The 20,679-nt window shown below is 53.8% G+C and overlaps 9 annotated features.

Moving 5' to 3' along the window:
• Window positions 4,827-5,408: an enhancer, noted in NCBI's record as "H3K27ac-H3K4me1 hESC enhancer chr22:37948625-37949206 (GRCh37/hg19 assembly coordinates)". NCBI's record gives its function as "activates a minimal SCP1, AML or CMV promoter by ChIP-STARR-seq in naive H9 embryonic stem cells {active_cell/tissue: H9 hESC(naive)}" and the evidence as "EXISTENCE:reporter gene assay evidence [ECO:0000049][PMID:30033119]".
• Window positions 5,091-5,235: an enhancer, noted in NCBI's record as "145 bp enhancer 128 fragment used in the MPRA reporter construct; PK_construct_4513". NCBI's record gives its function as "activates an SV40 promoter by MPRA in K562 cells {active_cell/tissue: K562}" and the evidence as "EXISTENCE:reporter gene assay evidence [ECO:0000049][PMID:23512712]".
• Window positions 5,124-5,141: a transcriptional cis regulatory region, noted in NCBI's record as "GATA motif; enhancer activity is reduced when this sequence is scrambled; it is unclear if both this motif and the upstream duplicate were each mutated in the experimental assay". NCBI's record gives its function as "necessary for full MPRA enhancer 128 activity {active_cell/tissue: K562}" and the evidence as "EXISTENCE:site-directed mutagenesis evidence [ECO:0005528][PMID:23512712]".
• Window positions 5,154-5,171: a transcriptional cis regulatory region, noted in NCBI's record as "GATA motif; enhancer activity is reduced when this sequence is scrambled; it is unclear if both this motif and the downstream duplicate were each mutated in the experimental assay". NCBI's record gives its function as "necessary for full MPRA enhancer 128 activity {active_cell/tissue: K562}" and the evidence as "EXISTENCE:site-directed mutagenesis evidence [ECO:0005528][PMID:23512712]".
• Window positions 5,409-5,990: an enhancer, noted in NCBI's record as "H3K27ac-H3K4me1 hESC enhancer chr22:37948043-37948624 (GRCh37/hg19 assembly coordinates)". NCBI's record gives its function as "activates a minimal SCP1, AML or CMV promoter by ChIP-STARR-seq in naive H9 embryonic stem cells {active_cell/tissue: H9 hESC(naive)}" and the evidence as "EXISTENCE:reporter gene assay evidence [ECO:0000049][PMID:30033119]".
• Window positions 18,761-19,260: an enhancer, noted in NCBI's record as "H3K4me1 hESC enhancer chr22:37934773-37935272 (GRCh37/hg19 assembly coordinates)". NCBI's record gives its function as "activates a minimal SCP1, AML or CMV promoter by ChIP-STARR-seq in primed H9 embryonic stem cells {active_cell/tissue: H9 hESC(primed)}" and the evidence as "EXISTENCE:reporter gene assay evidence [ECO:0000049][PMID:30033119]".
• Window positions 18,953-19,142: a silencer, noted in NCBI's record as "silent region_13686". NCBI's record gives its function as "represses an Ori minimal core promoter by ATAC-STARR-seq in GM12878 lymphoblastoid cells {active_cell/tissue: GM12878}" and the evidence as "EXISTENCE:reporter gene assay evidence [ECO:0000049][PMID:35858748]".
• Window positions 19,261-19,762: an enhancer, noted in NCBI's record as "H3K4me1 hESC enhancer chr22:37934271-37934772 (GRCh37/hg19 assembly coordinates)". NCBI's record gives its function as "activates a minimal SCP1, AML or CMV promoter by ChIP-STARR-seq in primed H9 embryonic stem cells {active_cell/tissue: H9 hESC(primed)}" and the evidence as "EXISTENCE:reporter gene assay evidence [ECO:0000049][PMID:30033119]".
• Window positions 19,869-20,078: an enhancer, noted in NCBI's record as "active region_18975". NCBI's record gives its function as "activates an Ori minimal core promoter by ATAC-STARR-seq in GM12878 lymphoblastoid cells {active_cell/tissue: GM12878}" and the evidence as "EXISTENCE:reporter gene assay evidence [ECO:0000049][PMID:35858748]".

Below are 20,679 nucleotides of genomic sequence, written 5' to 3'. Positions count from 1 at the left end.
TGGAAACAAAGAACTAGTGCTACTGTGGTTATTACTATTAATAGCATCAGTAGTAACCAGCACTTATTGAGCACCTGATGCATACCAGGTCCTGTAGCTCATTAACATGCATTATGACATTTAATTCTTGTGAGAGCCCCATAGGGAAAGTCCTGCCATGGTGTCCCTTTTGCAGATAAGTGAAGTGATTTGCGTAAAGCTCCCTACTTTGGCAGGATGGCCATACTTTCCAGTTTGCCTAGGACAGCCCAGATTACACATACTGTTCCAGTGTAATTATTAATAGCACTTCCTTTCATTCTCAAAGGTGACCTGGTTAGACAATCAATTACACGTCACTCTAGTCAGAGGATCCCTAGAGCGGCTGGTAAAGGAGGCAGTCTGGTGCAATGTCAAAGGCCCTGAGCTCAAATCCTGGCCCAGTGGCTGACCGTGGGCAAAGCACTTGGCCCATTTGAGCCTCAAGTTTCTCATCTCTGAAATGGGTATAATAGCAGTGTGGGTATTTACTAGTTGGGGTGTTGTGAGCCCCAGGCAGATGACTGAGCAAGCAGTCCTGATGGAAGTGGTTACAACCTGCCCCATGCTTGCTCCATCTTCTTCACCCGCGGGCAGGGAGGGCAGGCAGGAAAGAACAAGAGGTTGAGAACCTCCCTACTATATATGCCACACGCTTTGTCTTCTCCAGCTCATTGACAGGCAACCTGTGAATCAGGAATTCTTGCCCCCTTTTACATCTGGGTAAGCTGAGGCAGAGAGGAGCCCTCTCCCTCCTTTGCAGCCTGCCTCCAGATAGAAACCTATCTCCATGTAGGCTGTGCCCTTGTTCCTGGCTCCACTCCTGATTTAAGGATCTGACTCAGTTTTTCCCTCTGGAAAACGGGAGAAAGGGAGAAGTTTCAATATCCCCAAGAAGGATCCAGGGTTGGGCAGTCTCCCTTTATCATGCTTTTCTCCTCCCCCAATTTCCTGCGGTCCCCTTCCTTCCCTTTGAGAGGCTGTGCCCAGGAGTGCAGGGGTTAACCTTGGCAGGGCTGTAATCATCGTGCAGAATGCAGAACAAATGCCTCCCAGCTGGGGACGGGGAGCTGCTAGGTGAACCAACCGCCCAGAGCTCAGGATCCCCTACCTCCCTGTCTTGAAGGAACCAGGCTCCTCAGGCTATAGTCCCAGGGCTCAGCTGCCCCCTCCACTCAGCCCAGCAGATTGGGTTGGCCAAGGCAAGGGGCCTAAGGGAAGGAGGCAGGTCCTGGGCAGGGAGCAGTCTATGGAGCCAGGGAGGAGGGGGCAGGGCAGAGCTACGGAGAAGTATTTCCTCCTTGGGGACCCAGGAATGCCAGTGGCTGCTTCCAGGTTCCAGGGAGGTTTGGGATGGGAGCCTTCAACTGAGGCCACAACTATCAGCCCCTCCCTAGGGTGCATGTCCCCTTTGTACCCCAAAGTCTGGCTGGGCTTTTGGTCAGTTAATGCATCTGCTCATTGACCACTGATTGGTCTTTCCCGTTCTCCAGCTCTTGAGTGTCCACTGGTCCATCCATCTGTCGATGCGATCGCTAATTCATCCATCTACCCACTGCCCACTCCCCTGTCCATCCATCTGCCCTCCCTTCCATGCACCCATTTACCCACCTACTTCCTGTCCATGTCTTGATCTGCTACTCACATACATCCAATCACTCAACCACTTACTTACCCACCCTTCCATTGACCCATTGCCTATCCCCCATTCATCCATCCATCCACTTATGCACCCATCCAGCCGCCTACACACCCATGCATCCTTCCACCCCATCATCCATTTACCTACCTGTACACCCACCCACCCACTCTACCCAGCATTGTTTGATCCACTGCCCACACCCGTGGCCATCTACTCACCCACCTGTCCATCTACTCCTTCCACTTCCATCCTGTAATGCCCTTACACTGACTCACGCCTGGTCTCTGCTGACCAGTATGGGTGTCTGAGCACGTCCCCATCTTTCTCACACACATGCACTTCACTCACCTCATCAGCAGGTTACCTGGAGGCAAAATACCCTTGAAGACTGCTTTTTTTTTTTTTTTTTTTTTTTGAGACAGAGTCTTGCTCTGTCACCCAGGTTGGAGTGCAATGGCGTGATCTCGGCTCACTGCAACCTCTGCCTCCTGGGTTCAGGCAATTCTCTTGCCTCAGCCTCCTGAGTAGCTGAGATTACAGGCATCCACCACCATGCCCAGCTATTTTTTTTTTTTGTATTTTTAGTAGAGATGGGATTTCGCCATGTGGGCCAGGCTGGTCTCTAACTCCTGACCTCAGGTGATCCACCCGCCTTGGCCTCCCAAAGTGCTGGGATTACAGGCGTGAGCCACTGCGCCCGGCTGAAGACTGCTTTGAAATGTCACCTTCTTCTGGAAGAACTCCTTCAAAATGAGCCTCCCCACTGCATCCGGTCCATCCTCCATGTTGGTATCTATTTCCTGCTGAGATCGCTGATGAGAGAGTGATGTCTGTGCACGCTCTGTGCTCCTGGCACACTGGGAAATGAATGATCAGGACCAACATAGGAATTCTTGTTCATCGTTCCTTGACTGAGCCAAATGAGAGCAGGTACTCTCCTCCTGGGACCAATCCAGGGATACTCACTGGCTAGACCCCTGCAGGGGCTCAGGCACACCTGGGCACTGCAGGGGAAGGGGGCAGCTTTGGACTCTTCAAGAGGTTTGTGCTGTGACCTAGTTCTCCAGAGGTGACCTCACACCTAGGGGAGACTGGCAATGGGCCAAGGAGGCTGACCCCCATGCTCTCCCCAGTGTGCATTCCCAAGTCAGACAACCCTGAGTGCAAATCAGGACTTTGTCTCTCACTAGCAGAGTGACCTTGGATAAGTCAGTCCCCAGCATTGGTCTCAGCTCCATTATCTGTAATAAGCCATAAAGTTCATTGCCTGACCTGTAGTTATGGTCAAGGAAGGGTAGCTGTTATTATGACTTTTTTTTTCTTTTTTCTTTCCTTTTCTTTTCTTTTTTTTTTTTTTTTTTTGTTTTCGAGATCAAGTCTTGCTCTGTCACCCAGGCTGGAGTGAAATGGCACCATCTTGGCTCACTGCAACCTGTGCCTCCTGGGTTCAAGCGATTCTCCTGCCTCAGCCTCCCGAGAAGCTGGGATTATAGGAGTCCGCAACCACGCCCAGCTAATTTTTGTATTTTTAGTAGAGACGAGGTTTCGCTATGTTGGCCAGGCTAGTCTTGAATTCCTGACCTCAGGTGATCTGCCCGCCTTGGCTCCCAAAATGCTGGGATTACAGGTGTGAGCCACTGTGCCCGACCATTTTTTTTTTTTTTTTTTTTTGAGATGGAGTCTTGCTCTGTCACCCAGGCTGGAATGCAGTGGTGGTGATGTCGGTTCACTGCAACCTCTGCCTCCCAGGTTCAAGCTATTCTTGTGCCTCAGCCTCCCAAGTAGCTGGGATTACAGATGCCCACCACCACACCTGGCTAATCTTTGTATTTTTAGTAGACACGGGGTTTTGCCATGTTGGCCAGGCTGGTCTCGAACTCCTGGGCTCAAGCGATCCACCCGCCTCAGGCTCCCAAAGTGTTGGGATTACAGGCGTGAGCCACCGCGCCCGGCCTATTATGACTTTATCATTTTTCCTTTACCAGTAGGCAGTTTCCGTGAACACGTGGTAAATGGGTAGTTGCTGCAGCAGAGCCCTGGGCTGAGCACCTTGTGAGGGGGCAGCGGTAAGGAACGTGGGCCATACTTTCAAGATACTTAGAGTCTGCTGGGGAAGACAGAGGCCAGGAGACTGGTAGTGATGAAAGGTCAAAGCAGCGGTTGAAGGGACCAGGGAGGCAGAAGACCGACTGAGGAGGGCCAGGGAGCCTTCCTGGAGAAGGTGGCACTTGAGTTGGGCATTCTGTCTCGGGGTAAGATTGTCTGTAGGTGAAGTTGGGGAGAGAACAGGCTTCAGCAGAGAGGTGGAGGTGGGAATGGGTACACCTGAGTTCATGATCTGGTTCTGGAAGGCTAGAAGTTAAGTTGGGTCTACTGTGGAGGACGCAGGCAGAGGCACTGAATGCCGCACACGGGGAGGGTAGTGTCGGGTGCTAGGCTGGGCCACTGCCCCACTCAGTGATGGCGGCCCTCGGGGATCACAGACCCGGGGGTGACTCAGGATCCTTGATGGGGCTTCCTCATTAGCAGAGGCTGGGGGCAACCCTGCCTAATGCTGTTTTTTTGTTTTGCTTTTTTTTTCGCCTTGTGGCCCTTGATGACAGGAATGTGTTCTGAAAGAGCCAGGAGATGGAGACCCTCCTGGAAGGACCCTTCGGCTCTCTGGTTCCTTCCTCTGACTCCAGATCCCCACGAGTTAACACTTGGTGGGGTGAGAGGGGGCGGTTTCAGGGTTCTCAGAAGACTCCTGGGTGCTAGGCGCAGTGGCTCACGCCTGTAATCCCAGCACTTTGGGAGACCGAGGCCAGCAGATCGCTTGAGGTCAGGAGTTTGAGACCAGCCTGGCCAATGTGGCAAAACCCCGTCTCTACTAAACATACAAAAATTAGCTGGGTGTGGTGGCACACGCCCGTAATCTCAGCTACTGGGGAGGCTGAGGCATAGGAATCGCTTGAACCTGGCAGGCGGAGGTTGCAGTGAGCTGAGATGTGCCACTGAACTCCAGCCTGGGTGACTGAAAAAAATAAAAATAAAAAAATAAGGCTTCTGAGGCCACTGAGGCCCAGAGAGAATAGACTTGTCGGGGTTGCATGCGAGTGTGCAGTGGAGTCCTGGGCTGCCACACACTCCATGGCTGGCTTCAGTGTGGGTGAGCATCTGCTGAGTGTATGCCATCTCTCAGACTAACAGGGTGAAACAGGCTCACAGACAGGTAAGGCTCAGCACCGACTTGGCAGGGCTTCCAGGAAGACTGCCTGGAGGAGGTAGGATGAGCGAGGCTCTATAGATGTATGAGGCTGTGTGCAAACAGTGAGAGCCAGGCTGGAAACTCTAAGTGTGTGTGTCTGACTCGGGTATATGCGGCCAAGGTGTGTCAGCTGCAGTGATGGCTGAGATGTGCGGGAGTCAGGGCCTGGCCTGAGGCTAGGGAGTAGCCTGGGTGCCGGGTGATGGCAGATGCATCCCTATCTGTGTCACCCAGCTGCTCTTCGTCCCTATCTGTGTCACCCAGCTGCTCCTCGAGGTGATGTCTGGGTGCAAAAGGATTCTTGGGAGCAGTAGGGTCAGGATGGGAGTTAATCCCAGGGGCATTTTGGAGGGCGTGGCTGTGAGGCCCACGGGGAGGGCACGTCTCCAGGAGACAGCTGTCAGAGCCGGAAACGCCTCTGGAATTCCAGGCTCTGGGAAAAGGGCTGGCCTGTGGAAGAGCTTTCTCAGGCGGAGCCTTCCAGGCCGACCCAGCTCTGGTTTCTTGTTCACTGATCCGCAGGGAAATGGGGGTGGGGAGGCCCCCCCAACCCCTCTGGCTCCCTTTCTCCTGGAGAGCAAGAAGTTGGAGGGGGGTTGAGGAAGGATGTGGGGTCAGTTCCTCCAGCCCCACCCCTGAGGAGGACAGACAGATGGATGGACTGAAGGCGGAGTGGGGGTCCGCGGTGGCTGCAGTTGGAGGGGGCGGGAGGGGCAGCAGAAGGGGTCAGGGCCAGGTGACCCTGTTGTCCCTGGGTGATAGAAATGTGCTCTCCAGACCTGGGCCAGGTGGTTCGGGGCCTGGATGGAAGGGTGGTGGGGAGGGGTCCTCCAGGAGACCTTTGTTCTCACTGTGAGGTGGGTGGGGTGGAGAGAGGAGGGGCATGGAGGGGGGACAGGAAAAGTATTTGAGGAGCAGAAACAATGGCCTATTCTCTGTGGCCCACCCTGGCCTAAGAGATAGGCCCTTGGGCTGCAGGCCAGTCCTGCTTTGCCCTGACCATCTCCTGCATGGCCTCCTCCAGCCTGGCCCAGCCCTGGGGGCTTCACGTGGCCCTGCCTGGGTGGGCTGTGGGGGCGCCTTCCTCACCCCCATGGCCACGCGCTCATTCCTGGACACGTGGATCTCTCTGTTTTCTTCTAACAAAAGCCCGTCCACTTTGGTTAATGAAGCACTTCCATGTTCATGATCTCCTTTGTGTGGCAGAGACAGAAATGGACAAGGGAACACACCTTTTGCCCATGGCACCTGCCTGTTCATCAAAGAGCTGGGAGTCGGACCTGGCGCTCCTGGCTCTAGGTCCTGGGTTCACCCAGCAACCTCCTATGCCCCAAACCTGCTTCCTAGCTCCTGGTTTCCTCCTCTCTTTCCTGGATTGATGATAAGAAGAAGAGCAGAAGCAGGAGGAGCATTAACTGAGCATCTCCTGATTGCCAGACACAGCTCAGAGCTTGAAGTTCCACTTATATTTGCTCTGATCCTCACAACGCCATTGTGCAGATGAGGAAACTGAGGCCAAGGAGGTGAAGTAACGTCTCATGGCTTGGAAATGGTCACGCTGGATTTGAGTCCAGGTCTGTCGCCTCTCAGTGGCCTGCTGCCTTGAGGGCAAAGGCTCTGGGACCACGCTCAGAGGGACCATGATCTCCTCCGGTCTCCAGGGGTGAGGAGGAACCTCACGTCCTGTATACACATCCTTCTGGGGCAGGAATTGTTCAGAAGCAACCCTGACTGATGGCTGTTGCCTCTACTTACATCCCTTTGGTGACTGGAAGCTCACCACTCCCCCAAGAGGACAGCTCTGCCAGCCAAGAATTTCTCCCTGAAATGGAGCAGAAATCAACTCGTCATAACCTCTGCTCACTGCTCCTCTTTCCACCTCTGAGAACAGAGAGTTCCCCAGATGCTTCCCTTTGCAGAAAGTCAGAAGAAGACCTGGCTCCAAGTAGTACCAGTTGTGGATCTTGGGCAAGTTCTTTAGCCTCCCCGTGCCTCAGTTTTCTCATCTGTCAAGTGGGAGTAACAATGCCTATGATGGGCCGGGCGTGGTGGCTCACGCCTGTAATCCCACCACTTTGGGAGGGCGAGGTAGGCAGATCACGAGGTCAAGAGATTGAGACCAGCCTGGCCAACATAGTGAAACCGCGTCTCTACTAAAAATACAAAAATTAGCCAGGTGAGGTGGTGCATGCCTGTATTCCCAGCTACTCAGGAGGCTGAGGCAGGAGAATCACTTGAACCCGGGAGGCAGAGAGAGATCTCAGCTCTTCAGTGAGCTGAGATCGCGTCACTGCACTCCAGCTTGGTGACAGAGTGAGACTGTGTCTCAAAAAAAACCAAAAAACACCCAAAAACAAACAAACAAACAATGCCTGTGATCAAACATGTCTGCGAAAGGAGCTTTAGAAACACAGGTTGCGGGTGTGTCATAATCATTGCAGAGGCTCAAACTCCTTGTACTTTTCTCATTTGTTTCATGGACTTAACTTTCACATCACAGCAAACACTCATGAAGCACCAGTTCAGCACCTGGCAGCAGGGCACAGCCACTGCCTTTGTGGTTTTTTTTTTGGAGACAGAGTCTCACTCTGTAGCCTAAGCCAGAGTGCAGTGGTGCACTCTTGGCTCACTGCAACCTCCGCCTCCCAGGTTCAAGAGATTCTGGTGCCTCAGCCTCCGGAGTAGCTGGGACTACAGGTGCGCACCACCACACCTGGCTAATTTTTTGTATTTTAGTAGACATGGAGTTTCACCATGTTGCCCAGGGTGGTCTCAAACTCCTGAGCTCAGGTGATCTGCCCGCCTCGGACTCCCAAAGTGCTGGGATTATAGGCGTTAGCCACGGCGCCCGGCCCAGCCACTGCCTTTGAACTCAGAAATTCACACTCCCAGGCTGCAGAGAGGGGACGCGATGGTTTAGGGTTTTATGTGCAGAGTCATCTTTATGAATTCATAAAGACTCTGACAACATCCTCATGGGCAAGTGGAGGATCTCACAGGCAAGAAAACTGCCCAGAGAGGTGAAGCGACCTACCTGAAGTCCCACACCACCGTTCCAAAGGAGATTGACAGTGGATTCTCACCAGGCCATTCCTCGATTGGGTCTGCAGGGGTTAACCAGGCTGGCTGGCGCCTACCAAGCAGGAGGGGGGATCTCGCAGAGAGTGAGAGTTGGAGAATAGGCAGCCCCCTCTGGGTCTCTGACTCCCCCTCAGTGGGCAGCTTGAGCCCCTGCCAGCCTCTTGTTGACTCAGCCGGCCTCACTTCTGCCAAGGCCTGCTGGCCAGAGCTCCCACGGGGAGGGTCAGGCCACATTCTTCTCTGGCTGGAGCCTGAGGGGTGGCTGGCACCTCCTGGTGGAGTCTGTGTGCTGGAAAGAAGCTCATCTGGTTTGTGGGTGCTGGGACAGATGCTGGGGTGAAGCAGGAAATGTTTTTTGGGGGGAGTCAAGGATGGCTTCCCAAGGGACCACCTCAGAGCAAATGGATTAGCCTGGGAACTGGGCTACTTGGTTGCACGGCTCAGCTTGGTCTTTTTTTTTTTTTTTTTTTTTTTTTTTTTGAGACAGGGTCTTGCTCTGTCGCCCAGGCTGGAGTACAGTGGCATGAATATGGCTTACTGCAGCCTCGACCTCCTGGGCTCAAGCGATCCTCCCGCCTCAGCTTCCTGAGTAGCTAGGACCACAGATGCATACCACCATGCTCAGCTCGGCTAATTTTTTAAATTATTGTAGAGACATGGGCTTGCTATGTTGCCCAGGCTGGTCTCGAACTCCTGGGCTTAAGTGATCCTCCCATCTCAGCCTCCCAAAGTGTTGGGATTACAGGCATGAGCCACTACACCTGGCCAGCTTTGCCATGAATGAGCTGGGTGATCTTAGTGAGACACCCCCACCATCCTGCACCCCACCTCAGTTTCCCCATCCATCAAATGGGTATATGTGATAATATACCCTGCCTGCCTTACTCCACAGCTGTTGGGAGGATCAAAGGCAAAAACGAGTTGGGCCGGAGTGAACTCCCTTTGTAGGGCAAAGGCCCACACATGCTGGCTGGCCAGCCTGGCATTCTCTAGGGGAGCAAGTGAAGGGAAGGGGAGTTCAGGGGCAGCTCTTAGCTGTGGTGTGATCTGCCTGACATCCCTGCCTCCTCCCCGCTTGACATAGTGACACTGACAATAATAGTACCTCCTGGCCGGGCGCGGTGGCTCACACCTGTAATCCCAGCACTTTGGGAGGCCGAGGTGGGCGGATCACAAAGTCAGGAGTTAGAGACCAGCCTGGCCAACATGGTGAAACCCCGTCTTTACTAAAAATACAAAAGTTAGTTGGGCGTGGTGGTGCTTACCTGTAATCCCAGCTACTCTGAAGGCTGTGACAGAAGAATTGCTTGAACCTGGGAGGCAGAGGTTGCAGTGAGCTGAGATTGCACCACTGCACTCCAGCCTGGGCGACAGAGCGAGATTCCGTCTCAAAAAAAAAAAACAAACAAATAATAATAGGCTGGGTGTGGTGGCTCACGCCTGTAATCCCAGCACTTTAGGAGGCCGAGGTGGGTGGATTACAAGGTCAGGAGATCGAGACCATCCTGGCTAACATGGTAAAACCCCGTTTCTACTAAAAAAATACAAAAAAGTTAGCCGGGCGTGGTGGCAGGTGCCTGTAATCCCAGCTACTCAGGAGGCTGAGGCAGGAGAATGGCGTGAAACCGAGAGGCGTTGCTTGCAGCTGAGATTGCGCCACTGCACTCCAGCCTGGGCGACAGAGTGAGATTCCTTCTCAAAAAAACAAATAATAATAATAATAATAGCACCTCCTGCCAGGCGCACAGCCCTCAAGGGTTTACAAAGTCCTTTCATTTCTATACCTGTCACCTGCTGCCTCAGGGCCCTGGCAGAGAATACTCTTTCTTCTGCAGAGAATACTCTTTTCCCAGATAAGTGAGAGGCTGTTTTCTGCTCGGCTCAAACGTCCCCTCCTCAGGGGCCTACGGGACCAGGGATCTAAACTAAGTTCTTGGCTGGGCGTGGTGGCTCATGCCTGTAATCCCAACACTTTGGGAGGCTGAGGTGGGCAGATCGCCTGAGGTCAGGAGTTCGAGACCAGGCTGGCCCACATGGTGAAACCCTGTCTCTACTAAAAACACAAAAATCAGCCGGGTGTGGTGGTGTGTGCCTGTAATCCCAGCTACTCGGGAGGCTGAGGCAGGAGAATCACTTGAACCCGGGAGGTGGAGGTTGCGGTAGCCGAAATTATGCCATTGCCTCCAGCCTGGGCAGAAAAAGCGAAAACTCTGTCTCAAAAAACCAAAACACATAAATTAAGTTCTCTCCCACCCCTGCCCCCCAGCACCCTCCCTTCCGTGCTGCTGCTCTGTGCCTCTGGTGACTGCCATGACCTTGTTCAGGGGACCACCTTCCCCCATGACATTAACCTCCGTGAGGGCAGGGATGGTGACTGCGTTGCTCATCGCTGTGTCTAGTGACAGACAGCAGCCTTCCATGGTAGCTGTGATTGTTTTCCTTTGTAGAGAAGCTTAGAGAGACCAAATGCCTTGCCCAAGTCCACACAGCTGGGAAGGGATGGAGCCAGGACTGGGGCCCAGAGGCCTCTTAGATTCCAGTCCGTGGCTCTTTCAAGAAATGCCCACAACTGCGATGCCTGTTTCCTCTGCAGGCCCTGACTCCCTGGAAAAGAGAAAGCATGTCTCACCCCTTTGTCACCCCACGAGGTCCAGCTCGCGCCTCCTCCTTACACACAGTAGGTGCTGTGCCCGTATTTGTTTGGAAGATGTGGGAGGAACAAGCTACTATATTCAACATGCAAAGCCTGCTTGCCACCCTTGTGGGCCTCTGTCCCTTCACCAGGGACTAAGGACTAATGCCTCGGGCCCAGGGTGGGGGCATTCCAGGGGCCTCCTCACCCTGCTCAGGCAGGCCGGCTGGGCCAGCAGCTGTGGGGTGGCCAGATGCCCCACCCCTGGCGCCTTTAGGCCCTGAGCCCAGGCCGCAGGCTGAGCTGTTGGCTGGCACTGCTCCTTAGTCTTGGGGCAGGAACACCGCAGGGATTTTAAAAATAAAGGGCCTTGAGACAGTGGCCTGGCCCAGGCAGCCACAGGGCGGGGCGGGGGCCAGACAGGGACGGTGGGGGAATGCTGAGCCCGCAGCGGGCTGCAAGGCCGGGGTGGCCTCATTTTCTTCTCCAGAAACACTGCTCTCTTCCAAGAACGCCTCCTCCCGGCCTACTCTAAACATGGATCTCAAATATTTCCTGAGCACCTACTATGTGCCAGGCCTTGGTGGCAGTGGGGTGAATCCTCCACTCTTCCCGGCAACTGTATGGCTCTCCTCAGAGGGGCCCCTCCCTTCTTACCCAACCTCAGGCCACAGACTATTGACCACCTACTGTGTGCCAGGCAGCTCTGGCCTTTCACTCCTTGGCTCTTTCCCCTTCTGCTCTCACTCCCTGAGGCACCTCCCCTGTCCAGCCCATTTCAGTCCCCTTCTTTCTCCTCTGGCTCAGCTAACAGGAAACGCAGCCGGGGAGGTCAAGAGCCCCCGGCCTCCAGAGCGCAGCGTCTGGACACACAGGGCCTGTCTACATGGTGCGGTGGGGAAAGGGGGGCTTCCTGTTTACGACAATCACAAGTACCCTTGGGTGGTGCTTGGACAGGCCTCCAGGGCAGCCCCTCTAGTGTAGATCTAATCCCTCCCTAGGAGGGGCCCCCGAGTACCCCCACAGGCCCCAGGCAGCTAGCTCAGACCCTGGCCACTAACACCCGCGCCCCCGCCCGCAACACGGGATGGGTAGAGAAGGGAGGAGGAGCGAGGAGTCTTGGGAACAGCCTGGAATGTGGGAGTTGAAGGTCCGCAGGAAGCATCCCGGGCTCCAGGCCCCACTCCAAGTCTGGGTGCCCCGCCCCAGTCCTCTCCTCCCATCCCGGGGCCTCCCCAGCTCTGATGGGGGCGGGGCTGAGGGAGCCAGGAAGGAGGAGACCAGATTCCTTCCCGTCCCGCTGGGGCCGGAGGCTTCAGCTCTGGCTTGACCAGGCTCTGGCGGCCTCAGTCTCTCCATCCCTAGGGCAGGGCGTTGAGCCAGCTCCCGGGTCAGCCCCCATCTGCTGCTGCCTCCCTCTTTTTCCCCCCGCTGCCTGCACAATCCCAGAGGAGGGGTGAGGACGTCAAGAGGCTGAGACCGGCAGGGGAGACCTCCACGGAGGGGTGGGGCTGGCCAAAGGTGCCCCTGGGGAAGCAAACAACCCTGCCTACCTCCCCCTCCAGGCAGCCCCAGCCGATCGATCCTGTAGTTGCCCAATGGGTATTGACCGAGGGCCTGAGGGTCAGGGTCGCTGGTCCAGAAGAGGCCGGGCAGAGGGAGGCCTGCCCCATCCCCCACACGCTCCCTCACCTAACCCAAAAGGAGGTAGGTGACCCCTGTCCTCGTCTCCCCTCCCGGACCCCAGCCCCTTAGGGCACAACATGGTTGATGCTTGGGGCAGTCATCCCCCAGAGGCCGTGGGGGCACATTGGAGCTAGCTAGCTCAGAGGAGGCAGCCAGGGAGGGCTTCCTGGAGGAAGGAGGCCACCCTCTCAATATAGAAGCCTAAAATTGTGAAAGAGTGTGCCTGGCCCAGGAAACAACCTGGCCAAAGGCATGGCACTTCTAGAGAAGTGCTAGTGACATGATAGGGTTGGAGAAAGGCACAGGTGAGGGAAGGAGGGGAGGTTTTAGGGAGTGGAGGGCTGGGGTGGAAGGATGAGGTCATTTGTCCCAGTGGACTTTCTGTGGCTCTGGAGCGCCCTCTTTTGCCCCAGGCAGGAAGGCAGAGGGGAGCCTGGTAAAGGAACCACCACAATTTGATGTGGCTATGCAGACTTGGCGAGGGGAAGGGCCTGGGGACTGGGACTGGGACTACAGCCTCTAGTTCCATGAAGCCGCCCTACTGCCCTGGGAAGACCCCAGGTTTTCAGCCTTGTGAGACCCGCTCTGGGTCGGTGCCTCCAGGCGCTGGGGCGGCTCGCACAGGCTGTTCTGTGGTGGGGAAGAGAGTCTTGGCTCTTCCAAATTTCCAGCTGTGTAACCTTGGGTGAGTTATGAACTCCCCTGGCCTCAGTTTCCCCCTCTGTAAGATGGAGCTAAAAATAATTGCCCCAGAGGGCTACTGGTGGATGAAATTAATTAATTTATATTTTAGAAAGCACCTGGCACTAGTGTGCACCCAATTCCAGTTAGGAAACATTATTATTAATTGAGAAGAAGAGAAAGTTGGCTTTACCCCAAGGACATGTTGACAGGTGGGCGGAAGGTGTTTCACCAGAAGAGTCTTCAAAGAAGGACCTGATACGCAGCCTCTAGGATTCCCAGACTTGCCTGATCCAAGAAACTCCCTGGGGCTGTGGTTCAAAACATCAGCTTCTGGCCGGGCGCGGTGGCTCATGCCTGTAATCCCAGCACTTTGAGAGGCCGACGGTTGGGGGGTGGATCTCCTGAGGTCAGGAGCTTGAGACTAGCCTGGCCAACATGGTGAAACCCTGTCTCTATTAAAAAAAAAATCCAGATGTGGTGGTGCGCCTGTAGTCCCAGCTACTCGGGAGGCAGAGGCAGGAGAATCGCTTGAACTCGGGAGGTGGAGGTTGCAGGGAGCCCAGATTGCACCAGTGCACTCCAGCCTGGGCGACAGAGCGAGTCTCTGTCTCAAAAACAAAAACAAATAAACCCAAAATATCAGCTCCCCTTCTCCAAGTCTCTGACTGGGCAGGTCTGGGTGGGACAGGTCTTGGGATTTATAAGGAGGCCCCAGGCCTGAGCCTTCTACCAGGCAGGTATGGGGAGCATTCCTCTCTGATGACAAGGACTCACCCAAATGGTTTCTCCTTGGGAAGTGAGTCTTTCTTTCCTTCTTTTCTTTCCTTCTTCTTTCCTTCTTTCCTCCTTTCCTCCTTCCTCCCTTCCTCCCTTCCTTCCTTCCTTCTTTCTGTCTCTTTCCTTCCTTCCTTTCTTTCCTTCTTTCGAGACAAAGTTTCACTCTTGTGGGCTCAGGCTGGAGCGCAGTCGTGCTATCTCGGCTCATCGCAACCTCTGCCTCCCGGGTTCAAGTGATTCTCCTGCCTCAGCCTCCCGAGTAGCTGGGATTACAGGTATGCACCACAACGCCCAGCCAGTATTTTTTTTTTTTTTTTTGAGATGGAGTCTCGCTCTCTCTCCCCGTCTGGAGTGCAGTGGTGCAATCTCGGCTCACTGCAAGCTCCGCCTCCCGGGTTCATGGCATTCTCCTGCCTCAGCCTCCCGAGTAGCTGGGACTACAGGCATCTGCCACCACGCCTGGCTAATTTTTTGTGTTTTTTTTATTTTTTATTTTATTTTATTTTATTTTTTTCAGATGGAGTTTCGCTCTTGTTGCCCAGGCTGGAGTGCAGTGGTGTGATCTCGGCTCACTGCAACCTCCGCCTCCCAGGTTCAAGCAATTCTCCTGCCTCAGCCTCCCTAGTAGCTGGGATTACAGGCATGTGCCACCACGCCCACCTAATTTTGTATTTTTAGTAGAGACGGGGTTTCTCCACGTTGGTCAGGCTGGTCTCGAACTCCCAACCTCAGGTGATCCACCCACCTCGGCCTCCCAAAGTGCTGGGATTACAGGCGTGAGCCACCGCGCCTGGCCAATTTCTTTGTATTTTCGGTTGAGACGGGGTTTCTCCATGTTGGTCAGGCTGGTCTGGAACTCCCAACCTTAGGTGATCTGTCCACCTTGGCCTCCCAAAGTGCTGGGATTACAGGCGTGAGCCACCGTGCCCGGCCTGAATCTTTCAAAATACTTTTAAAAACCCTACTGTTTATTGAGCATGTACTGCCCGCCTGGCACTGCTCTGAGCCTCATCCGTGTTGATTCATGTCATCCTCACCACAATCCTATGTCGCAGTAGGTACTAAGATTTGTTCCCATTTCACTGATGGGGAAACTGAGACCTACAGAAGCTAAGAAACTTGCCCAACATCACAAAAACCCTGTGACTTGTGAGGCGTCCACCTGGACATGGGCTCTTACCCACTGGTTTGCAGTTTCCCAACCTGCCTCAGGGTCCTTGAACACTTGATGAAATTCCTCCAGGAGTCTTGGGTAGGAGCTGGGATCCTTACTTTTCACTCTTTTGCCCTCTAAGTTTGTGACGTTTGAATCAAGAAATGGCCGAATGCTTGAGGCCCAGAGTTTGAGACCAGCCTAATGAACACAGTGAGACTCCATCTCTAGGGTGTGGTGGCACATGCCTGTAATCCCAGCTCCTTGGGAGGCTGAGGCAGGAGAATTGCTTGAAGCTGGGAAGCGGATGTTGCAGTGAGCTGAGATCATGCCATTGCACTCCAGCCTGGGTGACAGAGCGAGACTCCATCTCAAAAAGAAAAAGAAAAGAAAAGAAAAGAAAATGAGCTGGGCATGGTGGTGCTACTCAGGAGGCTGAGGCAGGAGGATCGCCTGAGCCCAGGAGTTTGAGCAGGCTGCAGTGAGCCATGATTGCACCACTGCGCTCCAGCCTGGGCCACAGGGCAATTCCTAGTCTCAAAAAAAAAAAAAAAAAAAAAAAAAAAAAGGCCAGTTCTGCTTTAAACCCCACTGGAGAGGCAGAAGACTGGGGTTCAACTTCCTAGGCCCTACTTACTTTCTTTGGGGTGGTCTTGGGTAGTTCCCTCACCCTGAACTTTGGTTTCTGTATTTCTAAAATGGGGATACAGTACCTCCCTGGATACCATCCCTGAGTTACCTGAGACTGGGCTTGGGAAAGAGGTTTGCGAATGGTTCAGGCTGTGGGTTCCTGGGACCCAGGGGTGGTAGGCTCAGGGATAGGAGTGTGGACAGTCCAGGAGTTGCTCAAGCTTGTCTAGCCCCCAGAGCTAGGCTCTTTCCTAGCTAGTGTCATCAGTGGCTGGGGAGGTCATGCCACGATGGCAAAGTTGGGGGTGGCAGGAGTAGTAGGGAAGTCTGGTTGTGAGCCTGCCTTCTCCCATCCACCCCACCTGACACCCAGCACGCCCTGGCTGGCAGTTGCTAGTGATTCACCAGCTTTAAGCCCTAGTTTCATTTGTAATCAGGAAACGGGCCACTAGAGAGCCCGGGGCACTTTCTGGTGAGCCCAGACACCCTCCCAGAAACCTAGTGGGGAGGAGGAAAGCAGAGGGCCTGGTCCCAGAGAATTTGCATAATTTGTTCTTTGAGGAGGGTGAGAAATCCCCAGGGCCCAATTTCCCTGGAAACCATTTGCTCATGAGCTCATTCATTCTCGTTTATTAAACTCCTGCACTGTGCCAGTTACCAGGGACCTAGACAAGAACAGTGAAGTTTTCCGGGGGCTTCTGGGAGGGGAAGACCACCGTGTAATCGGGGTAACCCTTGCACAGCACAGTGAGGGATGTGTTTACAAAATTTGGAATCCACGGAGGAGAGGGTGGTGCATTTGGGCTTGGTATGGGTAAGGGGAGGTTCAACAATTCTGAGGCCCCTACCAGGAGGGTTGACAGTGCAGGCTGGGTTTGGCTCCTTCTGCCACTTTTTTTTTTTTTGACATAGAGTGTTGCTCTGTCGCCCAGGCTGGAGTGCAGTGGCTCGATCTTGGCTCACTGCAAGCTCCGCCTCCCAGGTTCACGCCATTCTCCTGCCTCAGCCTCCTGAGTAGGTGGGACTACAGGCGCCCACCACCACGCCTGGCTAATTTTTTGAATTTTTAGTAGAGATGGGGTTTCACCGTGTGAACCAGGATGGTCTCGATCTCCTGACCTTGTGATCCGCCCGCCTCGGCCTCCCAAAGTGCTGGGATTACAGGCGTGAGCCACCGTGCCCGGCCTCCTTCTGCCACTTCTGAATGGTTCTTCTCCCATCTGGGCCTTGGTTTTCCCATCCGTGAGCTGGACACAGGAATGGTGGCTTTTTCCTGGTGTTGTTATGAGAATCCAAAGGGTTAACACATGTAAAGAGCTTACGACAGCACCTGGTGTATGGTCAGCCTTGTGATGTTTTAGCTGATGCCACTGCTGAATGGTGGGTACTGTGGGAGGGGCTGCCCAAGACATGGGTTGGAGCATGCCTGGCAGACAGGGAGAGGACATGCCAGGGGAAGGCCACTGCCTGTGCAAATGCCCAGAGGTGTGTAGCACATGGATGTGTTGGACAGTGGTGGGGTGAGAGGTGGGAAGGAGCATTTGAAGATACTATCATTCCCTTTGGATATTCTCCTCAGGGCAGCAGGGAGCCATGGAAGGCTCTTGAGCAGAGGAGTGACATGGTAGAGCTGAACGCCAGGGCTACAGAGTGGTGATGGACTGGAGGGGCCAGACCAGGGCAGAGGGACCAGTTAGGAGTAGGCACAAGAAGCCTGGTGGGAGATGGGGTTCCTGAACGAGGGCATTAGTTCTGGGGATGGAGAGGCCAGGAGAGGACTAGTGGAGGGGGTGGGGCATGTAGCTGAGCTGCTGGTGATGAAACAAGGAGCGAGGAACACAGTGGGCTGAGGGAGATGGAGGAGTGTGAGTGTCCTGGAAGCCATTGATTCAGAAGATACTAATATACTTAGCAGGGGATGTTGAAGGAGGACTTTGAAATGTCTGTAGTAGTCGTCCAGGGGATCAGCAAGGGAAGGGCATCCCAGACAGAGAGCTGCCAAAGCAAGAGTGCAGAGGTGTCAAATAGCCTGTGTGTTTGGAGAGCAGTGGGTGTGGTGGAGTTTGGGTTTTGGGGGGAAGTAGGGGGCCAGGAGTTTGGGGCCTTGGGCACAATCCTGTAGGCTATTAGGAGTGGGAGTCAGTGAACCGAGTGGCAGGAAGAAAATTTAAACATCTCTATTAGTTTCCTGTGGCAGCTGTAACAAATGACCACAATCTTGGTGGCTTAAAACAATAAAAATTTATTCTCTCCACGCCAGGTGCAGGGCTCTCGCCTGTGATCCCAGCACTTTGGGAAGCCAACGCAGGAGGATCGCTTGAGCCCAGTAGTTCGAGACCAGCTTGGGCAACATAGTGAGACCCTCATCTCTACAAAAAACTTTAAAAAATTAGCTGGACATGGTGGTGTGAGCTGGGAGTCCCAGCCACTTGGGAGGCTGAGGTGGGAGAATCGCTTGAGCCCAGGAGGTCAAGGCTGCAGTGAGCTATGATCACACCACTGCACTCCAGCCTGGGCAATAGAGCAAGACCCTGTCACTGAAAAACAAACAAACAAAAATGATTAGTTCTGGAATCCAGAAGTCTGAAATCAAGGTGTTGGAGGGGCCCCGCTCCCTCTGAAGGTGCTAGGGGAGAATCCTTCCTTGCCTCTTCCCGCTTCTGGTGGCTCCAGGTGTCCTTGCCTTATGGCAGCCTCGCTCCTGCCTCTGCCGACATTTCCGTGTAGCTCCCTCTGTGTCAGCATCTTCTCTTCTTGTAAGGACACTTGTCAGTGGATTTGGCCCCCCACGGATAATCCAGGACGATCTCATCTTGAGATCCTTACTTTTTTTTTTTTTTAAGATGGAGTTTCGTTCTTGTCACCCAGGCTGGCGTGCAATGGTGCAATCTGGTCTCACTGCAACCCTCTCCTCCCGGGTTCAAGCGATTCTCCTGCCTCAGCCTCCCAAGTAGCTGGAATTACAGGCATCCGCCACTACGCCTGGCTAATTTTTTATTTATATTTTTAGTAGAGAGGGGGTTTCGCTGTGTTGGTCAAGCTTGTCTTGAGCTCCTGACCTCAGGTGATCCGCCAGCCTCAGCCTCCCAAAGTGCTGGGATTACAGGAGTGAGCCACCGCGCCCGGCCGAGATTCTTATCTTCATTACATTCGCAAAGACTCTTTTTTCAAATAAGACTGTATTCCCTGGTCCCAGGTGGACGTGTCTTTTGCAGGGGGGCCACCAGTCAACCCACTGCAAAATCCCCAGGCAGTGCCCTCTCCCACGTTCCTCTCCTCCTTGGGGCTCCCAGCCCCTCCAATCCAGCCTCCTTGAGTAGGAACTGTGTGGTCCTCATTCACTTTTCCACCCCTAGGGCCCAGAGTGGGCAGTGTGTTTGCAAATATAACTCCGTTCCTCTCTTCTTCCCTCCCTCCCTCCAGTAACCGATGCCACCAGAGGCTAGAACTGGTGCTGCACCTGTGGGACGAGGGCGCCACCGTGTGTCCAGCTTGGAGCAGTGTGGTCACAGGCTTGAGCCCAGCCCCTGCCCTGCTGACAGCCACTTACAGAGCGCCTGCCCCACCAGTCACTCCACCCACATCAGCCCTCTTCTTCATGGCCGCAGTATAAAGAGGGAATTACTATCCAGTTTTTCAGATAAGGAGACTGAGGCTGAGACCTTGCTAACGTCACCCAGCCTTCAGCTGCCGCCAACTCCAAAGCCACACCCACGCCATGCTGTGGACCAAAACTAGACCTGTGCGTGGGTCTGGGCGTGAGCCTTCAGACTTCTCAGGGTGTCCTGCTATTGGGAAGCTGACGCAGGAGGATTGCTTGAGCCCAGTAGTTCGAGACCAGCTTGGGCAACATAGTGAGACCCTCATCTCTACACCTCTTCTGTAAAGGGGGGAAGGTGCCAAGGACCGCCCTTGCCAGGTGGCCCCTTCCCCGTCTCTGGCCCTGAGAGAGACCTGCAGACCCCTGAGGCCTGTGGGTCTTGGGGGAATGAATTTTTGGGGAATACAATTCTGAGTACTTTCCAAACATTAGTCTTTTTGAATATTTTGGTGTTCATTGTTTTTCTCTAAACATTTGCATATGTGTGAACTATTTAGTGATTTAAAAAATATACTTAACTGGGTTAAAACTTTACGTAGGGCTGAGTGCAGTGGCTCACGCCTGTAATCCCAGCCCTTTGGGAAGCCACGGTGGGCGGATCACTTGAGGTCAGGAGTTTGAGACCAGCCTGGCCAATATGGTGAAACCCTGTCTCTACTAAAAATACAAAAATTAGCCGGCTGTGGTGGTGCATGCCTGTAATCCCAGCTACTCGGGAGGCTGAGGCAGGAGAATTGCTTGAACCGGGGAGGTGGAGGTTGCAGTGAGCCAAGATTGTGCCACTGCACTTCAGCCTGGGCGATGGAGTGAGACTCTGTCTCAAAAAACAAAAGAAAACGAAACCAACTTTATGTAGGCCTCCAGTTCCCCTCTAAAAGACAACAGCTGGCTGGGCGCAGTGGCTCACGCCTGTAATCCCAGTACTTTGGGGAAGCCAAGGCAGGAGGTTCACTTGAGGCCAGGGCTTCGAGACCAGCCTGGGCAACATAGTGAGACCCTGTCTCTATTTAAAACAAACAAACAAAAAAGGCCTGGCACCGTGGCTCATGCCTGTAATCCCAGCACTTTGGGAGGCTGAGGCAGGCGGATCACCTGAGGTCAGGAGTTTGAGACCAGCCTGGCCATGCGGCGAAACCCTTACTAAAAATACAAAAATTAGCCAGATGTGGTAGCGGTGGGGGGTGCCTGTAATCCCAGCTCCTCAGGAGGCTGCGGCAGGGAAAATTGCTTGAACCCGAGAGGTGGAGGTTACAGTGAGCCAAGATCGCACCATGGCCCTCCAGCCTAGGCAACAGAGCGAGACTCCATCTCAAAAAAAAAAAAAAAATAAAATAAATAAATAAAAAATAAATGAAAAACAATAACTGATGGCAGTTTCCTCCATATTCTCCCAGAGATGATCTGGGATGATTTATATATGTATATATGTATGTACATGTACACAGTATATGCAGACACACACACCACACACACATTCCCCCACTTCTTTTTAAAAGCAAATGGTGGCATACGATATACAATTCTCTAC

The sequence above is a fragment of the Homo sapiens genome, chromosome 22 (assembly GCF_000001405.40).
Source record: "Homo sapiens chromosome 22, GRCh38.p14 Primary Assembly".
NCBI classification, from domain to species: Eukaryota; Metazoa; Chordata; class Mammalia; order Primates; family Hominidae; genus Homo; species Homo sapiens.
Note: the sequence above shows the minus strand (reverse complement) of the source record. Positions and strands in the feature narration are given on the sequence as shown.